The sequence below is a fragment of the Homo sapiens genome, chromosome 2 (assembly GCF_000001405.40).
Source record: "Homo sapiens chromosome 2, GRCh38.p14 Primary Assembly".
NCBI lineage: Eukaryota > Metazoa > Chordata > Mammalia > Primates > Hominidae > Homo > Homo sapiens.
Window position 1 is genome coordinate 154,125,464 of NC_000002.12, and position 14,335 is coordinate 154,139,798.

At 33.9% G+C, this 14,335-nt stretch overlaps 1 protein-coding gene across 18 annotated transcripts in view; it reads left to right on the forward strand.

The window, feature by feature from the left end:
- GALNT13 (polypeptide N-acetylgalactosaminyltransferase 13) overlaps nt 1-14,335 on the forward strand; it is a 1,388,282-nt gene that overhangs the window by 1,057,171 nt on the left and 316,776 nt on the right. The window lies entirely within an intron of this gene.

The window sequence follows — 14,335 nt, forward strand, 5'->3', positions numbered from 1 at the left end:
GTTATATCTGAATAGTTATAATTAAATGTGTAATTTACATAAAAATAGAACTTGGAACTATTTACTGAAAGGCTACTGCAAACTTAAAAGGAAATTATGAATTAGATAATCTGCATGTACAAAAACGCAAAAAAGTGGAGCAAAGAGGAGGTGACAATAAGTCATTCTCATTAGATGGGAAAAAATAGAAAGGGATGGAAAAACTCTAAGGAAAAAGATTTTTTGTCAATCTTAATGAATTAACTGTTAAACTTGACGAAGTTTGGTTTCATCTTCCCTGTTTCCTTTTTGTAATGTGAATCACTAAAAGATGACCAGTAAGAATGGAGGTTGGTAAATAACTACAGGAAAACTAAATTTTATAACTGTGCTTTGGACCCCCACTCATAGCTTGCTTTAAAGTCCCAGGAAAAAATCTTTTTATAAGAGTAGAATGCCTTCATTTAATGACCTCAGATTCTTTCTTACAAAGGGTACAATCTACCTTCTGTAATACCTCAGCCTGGGGATCCATGACTGTTTTTCAGTGGGTGAATATCCATTCAGGAGGGAGCACATGAGGTCTGTTAATAGCCAAAACAATAGTAAGTTGCTACTATCATGTGGTTCTGTTTAGTTGGGTGTGGTTACTGAAGACACAAAGCCAATTTATTGCATCACTCTCCCTTCCCTGCTCTTTCATCAATCTACTTTTTCCCAAGACCACATAATTTTACTTTTGGAATTATCATAAATGATTACTAAAATCATGGAGATGAATTTGCAAGACTGAATTGCAAGGTAAACTCAACTTTATTTTGTAACTAAAGGACAGCTAGGGTAAAAAAAAAATACTGGTGCCAAACAATTCTATATTCAAAACATGTTTGTGCATTAGAAATAAATTAATGGGCCAGGCGCGGTTGCTCACGCCTGTAATCCCAGCACTTTGGAAGGCCGAGGCGGGCAGATCACGAGGTCAGGGGATGGAGACCATCCTGGCTAACATGGTGAAACCCCGTCTCTACTAAAAATACAAAAAATCAGCTGGGCGTGGTGGTGGGCGCCGGTAGTCCCAGCCACCAGGGAGGCTGAGGCAGGAGAATGGCGTGAACCCGGGAGGCGGAGCTTGCAGTGAGCCGAGATCGCGCCATTGCACTCCAGCCCGGACGACAGAGCGAGACTCCGTCTCAAAAAAACAAAAAAAAAAAACAAAAAAAAGAAAGAAAAGAAGAAATAAATTAAAGACTGGTAAATCCACAATCTTGAGATTTTGTGATTTTCTAATTCTGTAAGATGTATATGTATGTGGTTTTTGAAGAATGCAAGGTAATGTGGGCTTAACATGCAATGCATGTACCAATGGAGGTTGACTTTTTTTTATTCACTTGGGGGTCTCCCATATGGGAGTGCATGAAATACCACAGTACATGGGAAAAAAGAGGCCAGAGTGAAGAAATAGCGATATGAGGCAAAAAAACAATATCTGAGGGACAATAATGTTTTTATTATGCTGCAATGGAATAAGAACCCATATTTGATCAATAAGCAATCTTAAAGGTCATTTCTAAAAGAATACTCAGCTGCAGCTTAAAAGATAATTTTTAATTACTATTTTTACGTCTCTGGACTATAAAATTTAAAAAAAAGTTTCATATTAGTTTAGTGATGCAAGGAGAAAATATTAACCGAAAATTTAACAATATAATGATATATATTAGAGTTTTCCCTCCCCAGTAGCATGAATAAAGAGCCACTAAGCATAAATTGCAATGGTACCTAATGGGTAGTATTAACCCATAATATAAATAGATATTAAAGCTGTTTTAAAAAGTGACCACTGATACGTATTTCTGTAGAGATCTTAACTGATTTCTAGACGTTGGAAGGCTACTGTGCCATAATAAACTACTTTTTTCTTGCTTGAATAAATTCACACTAAACATTCCTCAGAAGGTTCATAGTTATCTTGAAAGTCAAACATTATTGCAGAATCTTCAGAAGTAAATTAAAACCACATTGATTTTGTTTAAAGTAGCACAGGATTTAAACTAGCAGTGTTTATGTAAGGAAAATTAAGTACCTCCATAAGTAGTTGTGAAGAGGTGAAGAGGAAATATCAAATATTATAAAACAAAAAAAGGAGAGTCAATAAAGATATTTTAGACCTTCTAAAAATATAGGAAGAAGTTTGGGTATGTGTGTGTAGATATGGATATATATGGTCATACATATAGTCATATATATATCCATATCCACACACACACGTGTGTGTGTGTGGATATGGATATATGTGTATATGTGCATATATGTATATGGGTATATATATCCATATACACACACAGAAACTTTTAGATTTGCATATATTTCTGCATACATATGCAGAAATATAAACCTGCATTCATATATGTATATACATAAACATATGATATGTTTATTGCATATAATCAGGTAAAATTTTAAGGATTTTAAGAGGAAACTATAAATAGGGCAAGTTTATTACTTATCCTTAGAGCACTGTGTTATTTCATATTGGTTTACAATTCTATAATGTAATCTTTTCTACAAAAGTAAGTACACACGATATGCCCTTGACCTTATGATGTAACCGAAATTATTTTATTAAAGCAAGGCTTACATAAAAAAGGCCAGGGTATGTTTGACAATGTTCTATATAGGTCTGATGAGTTGTGAGAAAGAGTATGTTCATTTAAAGGTGTACCTACTGGTAATTTAGCTTTGTGTTGATGTTTATAACAGCAATTAAGTTTTGGAACTAGCATATTTCTTTGGCATACTCAGTAAACACTTATTAAATAAGTGTTGACTTATTGTTTTGAATTTTTTAGTTCCTAGAATATTTAAATACTTGAAAAAGGATCAGGAATAGTATATGACCAATTTCTTAATTTTTAATGGCATGCTTGCATTATTTAGTTAGCACATTCAATTTAATTATTTTGATTATTAAAGTAGGTTTTCCTTCTTATGGTGTATTATTAGTATCCTGGTTCTTTTTATTAGTATTAACTAACAGAAAATGTCCAGAGGCAATGAAAAACGCAAAACCCAGTGTAAATTAATAATGAACAGCAAGATTTATAATGATTGTGAGTAAATACAAAGATCAGCAGCTGGTTTATACAGATGGTCAATAAAATGTTGGAATGTCCAAAACATAAACATAAGGGGTGATGGTAGGAGGCGGGTAGTGATTAGATATGTGATCACTGAGGTTAACTGTTAGTTTTGGTAGAACATGGAGCTTTTTTTTCTTCCACTAGAAATTTCCTTCATGAAAAAAATTATCAAAATGCTCCAATTCAAATTACAATGCCTCTTACAGCATGTATACCTCAGTTTATTTTGATAGCCTGAAATGGCTGCTAGAGCATCTGAAAAATATCTGATTTAAAAATCAAGTAATCATTTAGGTCATAAGACATTTAGGTCCATTATTTGACAGCTAAATTGAATAATTGATATAATTTCATATTTCTGAATTTACTGGTAAAATATGTGGGCTTCCTCTCAGAATTACATCTAGTCATTTGGAAATGCAAATCTTACAAATATTTATTAGCCTTATTTTATTGTTTTTTTAGCATCACAGAGATCAGTGATATTTTAACCCTACCTCAAGCAATATATTCTGATTAATATATAAAATTAAACAATCAAATTGTACTTTTAGGATTCCACTATATGTGCCTCACCATCCTAAACTACCTTTTATGGTTTTTGTATCCCCGCCATCCCAATTACCACACACACCAGAGTACACGCATAGATACAGTACCTTAGCAAACCATATTCTATGAAAACTGACAAAGTGATTATCAGGAAAGAAAGCAAAGTATGCTGGTCATTTGAACTTTATCCCTATTTTGGCCCTCAGAAATGTCATGCAGTTAATTTTTTCTTCTTCTTGATATTGTGCCAGTAATAATAATCAGTAAGAAAGTCAACCCCATGCCCAGCATGAATAGGTGAGTACTAAAATAAAATAATACCTATATAACAATCAATGCAATGTAACAGCGAAATGTCTTGAGACATGTAAAAATGTGTGTTATCATCACTTTACCTATAGCAATTTTCAAAGTATGGGGTTTGCAACCCAGGAAATGTGGAAGATGCTTCACTGAAGTGGGAAAAATGAAACACTTTTATTTTATTTTTATATCCTTATATATTATATATAATACGTAAAGATACACATCATCTTTATATTTATCTTTATATTTTACCTTTTAATTTTCTATTTTTGAGTTAAAGTGATACCTATGTTAATTCCCAGCAAACATGATTCATTACAAATTCATACTCAAACATTTTTAATTGATTAATGAACATGGGGCCTGTTGCGAGAGGACTGTTAATGTACTCCTCCATGAGATCTCCTGATCATCAACTTTCCAATCATGTTCTTTGCAGTTCCCTTACCAGCTGGCGAACCTGTTAGCTACTGCTCATGGTTTAGTTCAGGTTCCTACCTCAAGCCATCTCTCCCTTCACACAGTGCTCAGTCAAATTTCCCCTCTAAATTTCTGCCTGATGGAACGATTTCCTTTCACTCACTGACTTGCAGGACCATGCATCAGTAGGGTTATAAAGAAGCAACTGCTAGCAGTTGCTAGCATATCGGTGAATTCTTATTTAATCTAAGCTTGCAATTTTTCTTCCTTTATTAACTGGTCATAAGGTACTCCCTGTGAAATTATAGTTGTGGTTGAGAGAGCCAACCTTAGCAACCCCACAGAGAAGAACTATGGAAATAAATGCCTTGACCTCATTCATCTTCTGTCTCCTAATACTCCATCATTGCCTTACCAACCAGGAGTCAAAGGGAAAGGGACCCTGGCTGGTATGGACATAGAGGTCAGCAACCCGAAGCAGAGAGCTGGAGATGGTGCAGTCAGGCCTGTGGAGCCAAATAAATAGCATTCAGCACAACCGCCCTCAACAAAGTTTCACAGTCCAGCATTAGATTTAATTTTATAAATTAAAATACTTTAGAGTATTTGAGGTGATCCATTTTTCTCTTCACACTTAGTCCAGTATTATTTTATTGATAATTCGTAATTGCAAATTTTGTGAAAGATATATATATTTTTTACTTCCAAAAAGGACTTGTTAGAGCCTGCTAATACTTGCCTCATGCTTTCTGTGACTAAATTAATGTTTGGAGCTCTGTTAGATATTTTATGAAGGTTTATAATAAATAAAATGTTACATCCAGAAATTATTTTAAAAATATATGTCCACTTCCTAACTAGATGCATAGTCAATGAATGCAGTACTCTTTTCTTTATGACAAAAGTGAGTATATTTTTCAAACATGATGAATCCAGCATGCTGCTCAAAGCTTACTATTTTCTATCTGCGGAATAACTCACAATGAATATTGGATTATGTAAACAGCTTCTGTAAAATGGCCCTTGTTTTACTTGAGATGTCCTCTTCCAAAGGGCTTCTCAAAACATCTGGCAGCCAGATTGGTGCTTTTGTTTCCAAAGAATTCATGGTTATTTCAAAAAAAAATTTTTTTTGGCAAAATGGGAAGAATGGGGAAGATAAGGATATTTCCTGTATAAAGCTGAAACTAAGGCCATTACTGGAGCCATTGCAAGATAAGGGCCTTTTAAATATTTTTTATTGAGGAAGCTCATTCTTAATACAGAAGAAAATAATTTCATATTTCAGCATAATTTTATTATCTTAGTGAACACTTTAAAAGTTGGGTCAATGGTTTCCAGGAAACATTTGTGACTGTAACATGTGCCAAACAACCTCTTATTGTATATAAGAAGCGTATGAGCTTAATGTGTATTAGTAGAATATATTATAAGGATGATTGTGAAAGGATTGGCAAACATTTTTATAGTAATATAGGAGTATGCTTTTTCCTAAAAAGGAAACAAGGACCTTGCTACTTATTTTTTCTCAGCTACTAAATATTTTCCTTTTCTGTAAATTGTAATGAATTTCCTGTGAGGAACTTATATCCTAGAACAAATCGTATTCCTTTATAGGTGCTCCTCTGCCCGCTTCTCATCTTATGTCCATTAAGAAACTGTCTCTTCATGGAACTCTGATCCTTTCTTTTTCATTCCCCAACATCTACTGACTCCACTTTGTACCTGTCACTATAAAAGCCAGGTTATATTCATTTTCACTGAAGCCAGATTTTTCGTTAATACCTAGCTAAAATTACCCTAGTGGGTGTATTAGTCAGGGTTCTTTAGAAGGACAGCGTTAATAGGATAGATGCATATATAAAAAGGGAGTTTATTAAGGAATATTGATTCACGTGATCAGAAGGTGAAGTCCCACAATAGGCTGTCTGTAAGCTGAGGAGCAAGGAAGCCAGTCCAAGTCCCAAAACCTCAAAAGTAGGGAAGCCAACAGTGCAGCCTTCAGTCTGTGGCCAAAGGCCTGAGAGCCTCTTGCAAACCAGTGATGTAAGTCCAAGAGCCCAAAAGCTGAAGAGCTTGGAGTACCATGTTCGAGGGCAGAAAGCATCCAGTACAGGAGAAAGATGAAGGCTAGAAGACTCAGCCAGTATAGTCCTTCCACATTTCTCTGCCTGCTTTTACCTAACCACGCTGGCAGCTGATTAAATTGTGCCCACCCAGATTGAGGGTGGGTCTGCCTTTCCCAGTCCACGGATTCAAAGGTTAATCTCCTTTGGCCACACCCTCACAGACACACCCAGGAACAATAATTTGCATCCTTCATCCAAACAAATCAAGTTGACACTCAATATTAACCATCATAGTAGGTAATGTACTGATTTAGAAAATATAGATAATGCAAATGAAAGATGTAAAAGGCCCTTTAATTAAATGAACCACTGCTAATCTTCATTGCTGATATATGCATATACTTCATTTAACTTGTTTTTCCAAAAATAGGCTTATTTTATAACATTGTTTTATAATCCTTTTTTTTTACTTAGTATAACATGAACATCTCCCACATCATTAAATATTCTTCTATGCATCATTTTAATCACTGCATAGTTTTCTTATATGAATGCAACACAATTTATGCAGTACTGTATATAAGATATTTGTGGGGGTGATGATATGTACACTTATAATGGGATCCATGCACAAACACACATGCATATACAAGCTACTTTAATCATGTATGCAGGGCTGGGCACAGTAGCTCATGCCTGTAATTCCAGCACTTTGGGAGACTGAGGCAGGTGGGTCACCTGAGGTCAGGAGTTCAAGACCAAGCTGGCCAACTTGGTGAAACATGAAAAAATAACATGAAAAAATAAAAAAAAAAATTAGCTGGGCGTGCTTGTGCACACCTGTAATCCCAGCTACTTGGGAGACTAAGGCAGAAGAATTGCTTGAACCAGGGAGGCAGAGCTTGCAGTGGGCCAAGATCACGCCATGGCACTCCAGCCTGGGTGACAGGGCAAGACTCTGTCTCAAAAAAAAAAAAAAAATCATGTATGCAGGTAAATCTTTGGACAAATCTATATATGTTTTAGAATATATTTTTAAAAGGAATTTGTGAGTCATAAGTTACAAGCTATGATTCACTTGCTTGTATAGAATAGTATGGGAAGGTGTGATGTGGGCATCCACTGTAGTGCCTATTGGCTTTGGCATATAACCTTCCATCTAAACTAAACGGTGAAATTATTTAAATATCTTATTTAGGAAGAGATTGTGAGCAAGAAAGGCAGAATAAGTGATCCATGATTGTACAGCAAATAGCTGACAATATTTAATAAGCCCCAGTTTGTGTTGAGGTATTGTTGAGACTCCTTTGTAGTAGTTATACAAAATATTATTTTTATTAAAAGTTACTATTGGGGCATTGAAATAAATTAATCATGGGCTTTTTAAATTTAAATGGTGATTTGCTAAATCTCTACTTATGATCTAATTTGTGATCTAATTAAACCCATTAAGTCCATAGTGTCCACACATTTTCATTGTGAGTTGCTATGATTAAAGATTTTTGAGCTTGTATTAACACATATCAATTTATTTATAATGTCTATACATATAGTAATCTCAACTCAATTCATCTAACTTTTTTTCAGTAACATAACAGACCATTTTATATATATATATATATATATATATATATATATATATATATATATATATATCTGAGATGGGGAAAACCCACGTTAAAAACCTCTATTCTAATTACTTTTTTATCAGTCTTTTGATAATAGAACTAGATTGTCTACAAATTGCCTTCTACTTTAAAAAAATTATTCACTGATTGAATGCACAGTGGCAAGTACTGGGATGAGCCAAAATTGATGCACAATGCTTCGGGGAGTTTCATAGACTAACGGAGGAATGAAATAATTATATTAATAAAAATAACACTGACAAGTATAACAAATAGACCCAAAATTCTAATGGTTTAGCAAAATAAAGTTGTTGTTTTGTTTTGTTTTTCATGTAAATTTTGCAATGGATATTTCTCATGAGCAAATGGCTCTCTTCCAAGCAGTGATTCAGACATCTAGGTTACTGTTGGTAGTGTCGACTGCTGTTTTCCACACATGGCTTCCAAAGTTGCTACAGCAGGGGAAAGTACATGGAGAACCACACACGGGAAGTTTTTATGAGCCTGGCTTGAATTGGCACATATCATTTCTATTCTCGGTTAAGGACCACACCTAACTGCAGGGCAGGCTGGAAAATGTTGCATAGCTATGTGTCCAAGAGGAACAACAACTACATTAGTTCAATAGTTAGAATCTGTGTGATAACATGCAAAAAATGGAATTGCAACATTATGAAAAGTATAATGGAATGATGTAAAAGAGCTATAAAATTATGAAAGAGAGTTATCTTACCTGAAAGTTGAAATTGGTCTTCAGAGATGAACAAGGATTATTTGAGTGATCAGAGGTTGAAGGAACTTTCTGGCAAAAGAAATATACAGAAAGTCAAAGAGATGAGAAAAGGAATAATTCTAATACAGCATGGTTAATTTTCAATTCACCCATTAAATTTCCACTACTTTTTCAGAAGGTATTTTCAGGCAAATTTACAAAGATGTATACATAAGGAAGAATATTAATTGCATTGCTGTTTATAATAGATGTGATTGAAACCAACATAAATATTCAAAGAAAAAGCATTGGTTAAATAAATGATGGTATATCCAAACTTTGGAATATTTTGCACCCATTAGAAAATAAGTATGGATTCACATATTTATTTGGAAAGGTTTCCACAAATGTTTTTTAAATGATAAAAATTAGCATGTACAGGCTGCGCATGGTGGCTAACGCCTGTAATCCCGACAGTCTGGGAGGCCTAGGTGGAAAGATCACCTGGGGTCAGGAGTTCGAGACCCGCCTGGCCAACATGGCAAAACCCAGTGTCTAATAAAAATACAAAAATTAGCTGGTGACGGGCACCTGTAATTCCAGCTACTGAAGAGGCTGAGGCACAAGAATCGCTTGAACCCAGGAGGTGGAGGTTGCAGTGAGCTGAGATCGCACCACTGCACTCCAGCCTGGGTAACAAAGGGAGACTCCGTCTCAAAAAACAAACAAACAACAAATTGGCATGTACAATAATGTTGAATGAAATTATAAAATTCAGCATATATGAATGGTCCTATTTTAAATACATATGTATGTTTATGTACAGATTATTGCTGACTGTTCATTCAAGCAGTAGTTTACTTGATATTTCACTGTTTTTCTATAGTGGCTTCCTCCTTTGCTTTCTTCCTTCCTGCCTGCCTGCCTTCCTGCCTACCTTCATCCTTGTAAATGAGCATGCATTATTTTTATCATAAAAATAATATATTTTGAGTAAAAAAAAATGTTGGTGATCAGTGTTCTCTTGTTTCTGTGGATAATCTCTCTTAGCTAGCTGATGTAAAATGCTACCTTATTGATTATCTAATAGATGACACCTTTCTGAGAAGTAGTAGCTAATATATGCTAGACTTGATGCAGCCGGGGCTTGCTATTTACAACTTTCTACATAAGAAATGAAAAACAAATCTTACTGTCAGATGTGTCAGATTTATAAAAGTTGTATATAGTTTATTTTCAAAGGGATGCTAAATGAATTGCTACTTGTCATACATTAAATAGAATAAATTTAGTTGTTTAATTTATAGGTTAACTATCATATTGATATGTGAAGTCTATTTTTGTTTCTAAGAGAAATGGGCCAAAGCAAGTATATACTGAATCCCCTTATTTTATTAAGAATTAACCCTGAGCCACGTGTGATGGTGGGTTCTTGTAGTGTCAGCTACTCAAGGAGGCTAAGGAGGGAGGATCCCTTGAGCCCAGAAGTTCAAGGTTGTAGTGAGCTGTGACCGTGAAACTACACTTCAGTCTAGGTGACATAGAGAAAACCCCATCTCTTTTAAAACAATGAAAAAAGCAATTACTCAAATAATTATCCTTGATAAACTAGAGCCTTTGGACTGGCAAAAGAGCATGATCTGGGTAATGGTGAGTGGAGGGTAAAGTGGTTTTTGTGGTGGGGGGTGGTGGAAAAACCAGTATGGTTTTCTTATCTTCTGAGTCATCTATAAACAGATAATTGATTGACAAGACCAAAAGCATTGTTTTAGGGAAACTGATTTATTGGTAGCAGAGTATGAATATTCAAATATGAGAGGGACTAAAAGTCAGTGTTTCTAATTTATTACAATTGTAAAATTGAAAGTAATGAAAGTGAAAGATCTACAATGCCAATGAAAAGAAAGATTTTAAAGGAAAATATACAGAAAGTAACAACTGAGTAGATCTAAGACTAGAAATACAATTTGAAAGATTTTTTTGACAAGCAAGGCATATGGGATATTATTCAGATTTTGATTCAATGTTATGCTTGTACCATTATTCATCACATATTACTATGTTCTCTAACAGAATAAAATTATTACTTTAAAATCAATCAACTTGAAATGTTTTTTGTTGTTTGTTTTTGCTTCAAGCTTTTTCCTAGATATAGACTAGTTCATTTCTCTTTTTTCAAAGAGACACTGCCCACTAATAAAGGGGTAATTCTGCAAATAAGAAAATGTTCACAATGTAATATACATAAGCAAATAATGCAATTGATAAATAGTGTTCTTTTTGGTAGATTTATCAGTTGTTTTGTTTATAATATGATCATCTTCTTTAACACTGGGAATTCTAAGATTAAAATAAATGTAAATTAAATTTTTTAAGTAGGTTCTGTGTTAGAGAAAATGAAAGGTATAAAATGATTCTGGTTTTATCATATTTCTAAAAGCTTTATAATGTCATTTTGAGTCAAACTAATTATTTTTTTAAATAATTTCACTATATAATTAGGAAGAAAATAGCTCATAGCATAATAAATTAATCTCTTTTTGAAGTCTACGCCAGCTTTGGTATTTGAACATTTCATCCATATTCAAATCAACAATAAAAAAACCACAATGTAGATTTGCTTGCCTTCTGCATTACATTTGCCTATTAGAGTAGATAAATAGCACACATATTTAGATGACAAGTGGTTTTTTTTTTCCTCTGACTATGGGGAAGCATGATATTTTGTGAGTACATGAGTCTCTTTGTGTGTGTGCTATGTAAAGGAAATCAACAGGTGAGAAAAATGTATAGAAACTGATATTTAAAGGTGCTTAAGACCAGTGATAAGTCACAACACCCAACTGCTTATTCTTTCCCATTTGTTATTTATGCTATTTGAAGAATTAGAAAAGTGTTTTCTTCTGGTAAGATGCCTTCCTCCAGGTAAAAGCCAGAAAAAGTAAAAGGCTCGTTCCCCACTATAACTACTTAGCATTCTTTTTGCTTGAGCAAAGTGAAAAACACCAATAGGCCTGCTTATACACAGGCAAAACACACACACACACACACACACACATTTTAAAAATGTCAAATATATATTCATTAGAAGCTGTAACAGAAGAATGTATTTAACTCTGGGGAGAAGACGCTTAACCTGATATTCTTTAAGTTGTTACCTATTCTCCACTAAGAAACTGAGAATAATTAGGAGAATGACTACATGTTGTTGCAAGTAGTCCTAGGTATACGGACACTGTTTATGACCATTTTAATTTCATTGATTATGATACCAAAACATGGCACAATTACTCCTGCTACCACTGACAAAACTATAACTTACATAATGTGAAAATAAAACTGTCATGCCTTTGAATATATTGCAAATATCAAATACTTCTGTGTGCTTTAAATTGACCTTCATAGCTTAAGGTGTTAGAGTTGAGCCCATGTCTTTTCCACAGAGCGAAATTTTAATCCTATCTGCTTCCTAGTCTTGGAAGCATTGTGTTGATTATGGTGACTTTCTCTGCAGCATGTCTTTTTATCAGTTTACAGACGGTGAAAGGGATCAGAACATGCATCCCCAAATATGCCACTTTGTCATATGGGTTATTTTAAGCTGCAGGCTCTTTCTTAAGAAAGAGCACATGCAGGAAGCTGTTTCTGATCTCCCTGTTTCTGCCTAAAAGAAGGTCACAAAGTTTCCCATGATACAAATCCCCCCACCCCTTCCCACTGTATTAGAAAGCAAAAATTGTTCTCGTCACCAGAAGTTATGAGTCAACACTGGAATGGACCTATGCAAACAAGCTTACTAAAATAACCCTAATCTCCTCATAGTTTTCCCCATACATTTCCTAGTTACAAACCCACAATTTACTGCCCCTAGCTCCCTACCTAAATCTCCTTTGTATTATCACTTACTGACAATTTATTATTCTTTGTTTAAAGTGATATATAAGCTTTTGGGCCTAAAAGGTTCTTTGACCTTCATTTTCCTTCTGAAGACTCCTGTGTACACATAAAAATACATTTGTATGCTCTTTTCCTATTAATCTGTATTATGCCAGTTTAATTCTTATATCACCACAGAATGTAAGAGGATAAAGAAGGTTTTGTTCCCCTACAAAGATATTGTAAACAACTGTAAACAGGGAATTTCTTTCTTAATTTCCAAAAATTATTTTTAAAAATGTACCCCAAATTATTTAACCATTCAAAAGAATCACAAATTTTCAAAATGTTAAGAATCAGAATATTTTTTATACCAGGGAAAAAGTATCTCTTTTTTATGGAATTAAAGTTACAGTCCAAGATATGTTAAAAAAAAAAAAAAAACCTAAACTGAATATTTATGGTTAATAGGAGCGCCCATGTCACCTGTTTATGTTCTTATTTCAGAATTAGAAAGACTCACAAAGAAGCCACATATAAATTCATTTAATACTTTATGTAGACTAAAAAATTTTTTTAATCTTACAAATGAAAGATACCTTAATGTCATTGTCTCACCGACATCACAAATTCATCCAAAGCCAAATCCAATAACGTCATCTGAGTTTAGGGATATTACATATACTAACACCTAAAGAAAATTATTTTTATTGGAATTTTATTTCTTAAATTTAGAAAAATACACCTTCTCATAAAATTTCTGCCATTGTTTCTATTTTTGCTTTTTAAAGTGAATGATAATCTTTGTAAACTTTATTTTGATGACAACTTTTTAAATAGTTTGAAATTGAATACATATTTTTTTCTATATTCAATGTTTCCAGTTCTAACTATTTTTATATATGTGAGAGGATTTCAAGGCCAATCACTTTTTTTTACCCATATCTAAAGGTCCTTAGAGATGCCTATTCTCTTATATGGTTTGACTCATGCCATTACAAAGTCATCAACTGGATGGTCAACTGTGTATTCATGCTAATAATACCAGTTTTGCTGTTTTGTGGCTATGATGGTTGGCTCAGAGCAAAATTTGCTGGATGTGTTCTATCCTAGTTTTTACCATATTCATACATTATTTTAGAATTTATGTTTTTAATGAAATGTTCTAACTTAAAAATTATTTTCATATGCATTATAGTCCTTATTTTTTTTCAGTATTTCAAGGTATGCTGTGCCTAAATATGTGCCTTTTAATTTATATGGAAATTAAACTCAGTAAGATTAATGTGTTAGGAACTATAATATAGCAGAACATTGGAAGAGTCGAGACATTGGAAGAGTCGAGACCAGAACCACATTCCTTTCACTTTAACCTAATTTAATATCACTCTGAAGAGTAACTTCAGGATGCATTTGGGCCAACTGGCACTTTGTCTTATTACTATATATTAGCATGCATACAGGTATGTGTAGGCAACACACACACACACACACACACACACACACACCCCTTGAAACGTATACTTTAGATCTAGAAGGGACTTTAGTGTAGTGATAACTTGGGAGAAGTGGCGAGAAAATTAGCCTATATATCAAATCCTGCGTTCTCTTCACGAATATTCAAGCCCAGAATATTATTGTGAAGTTTCAATT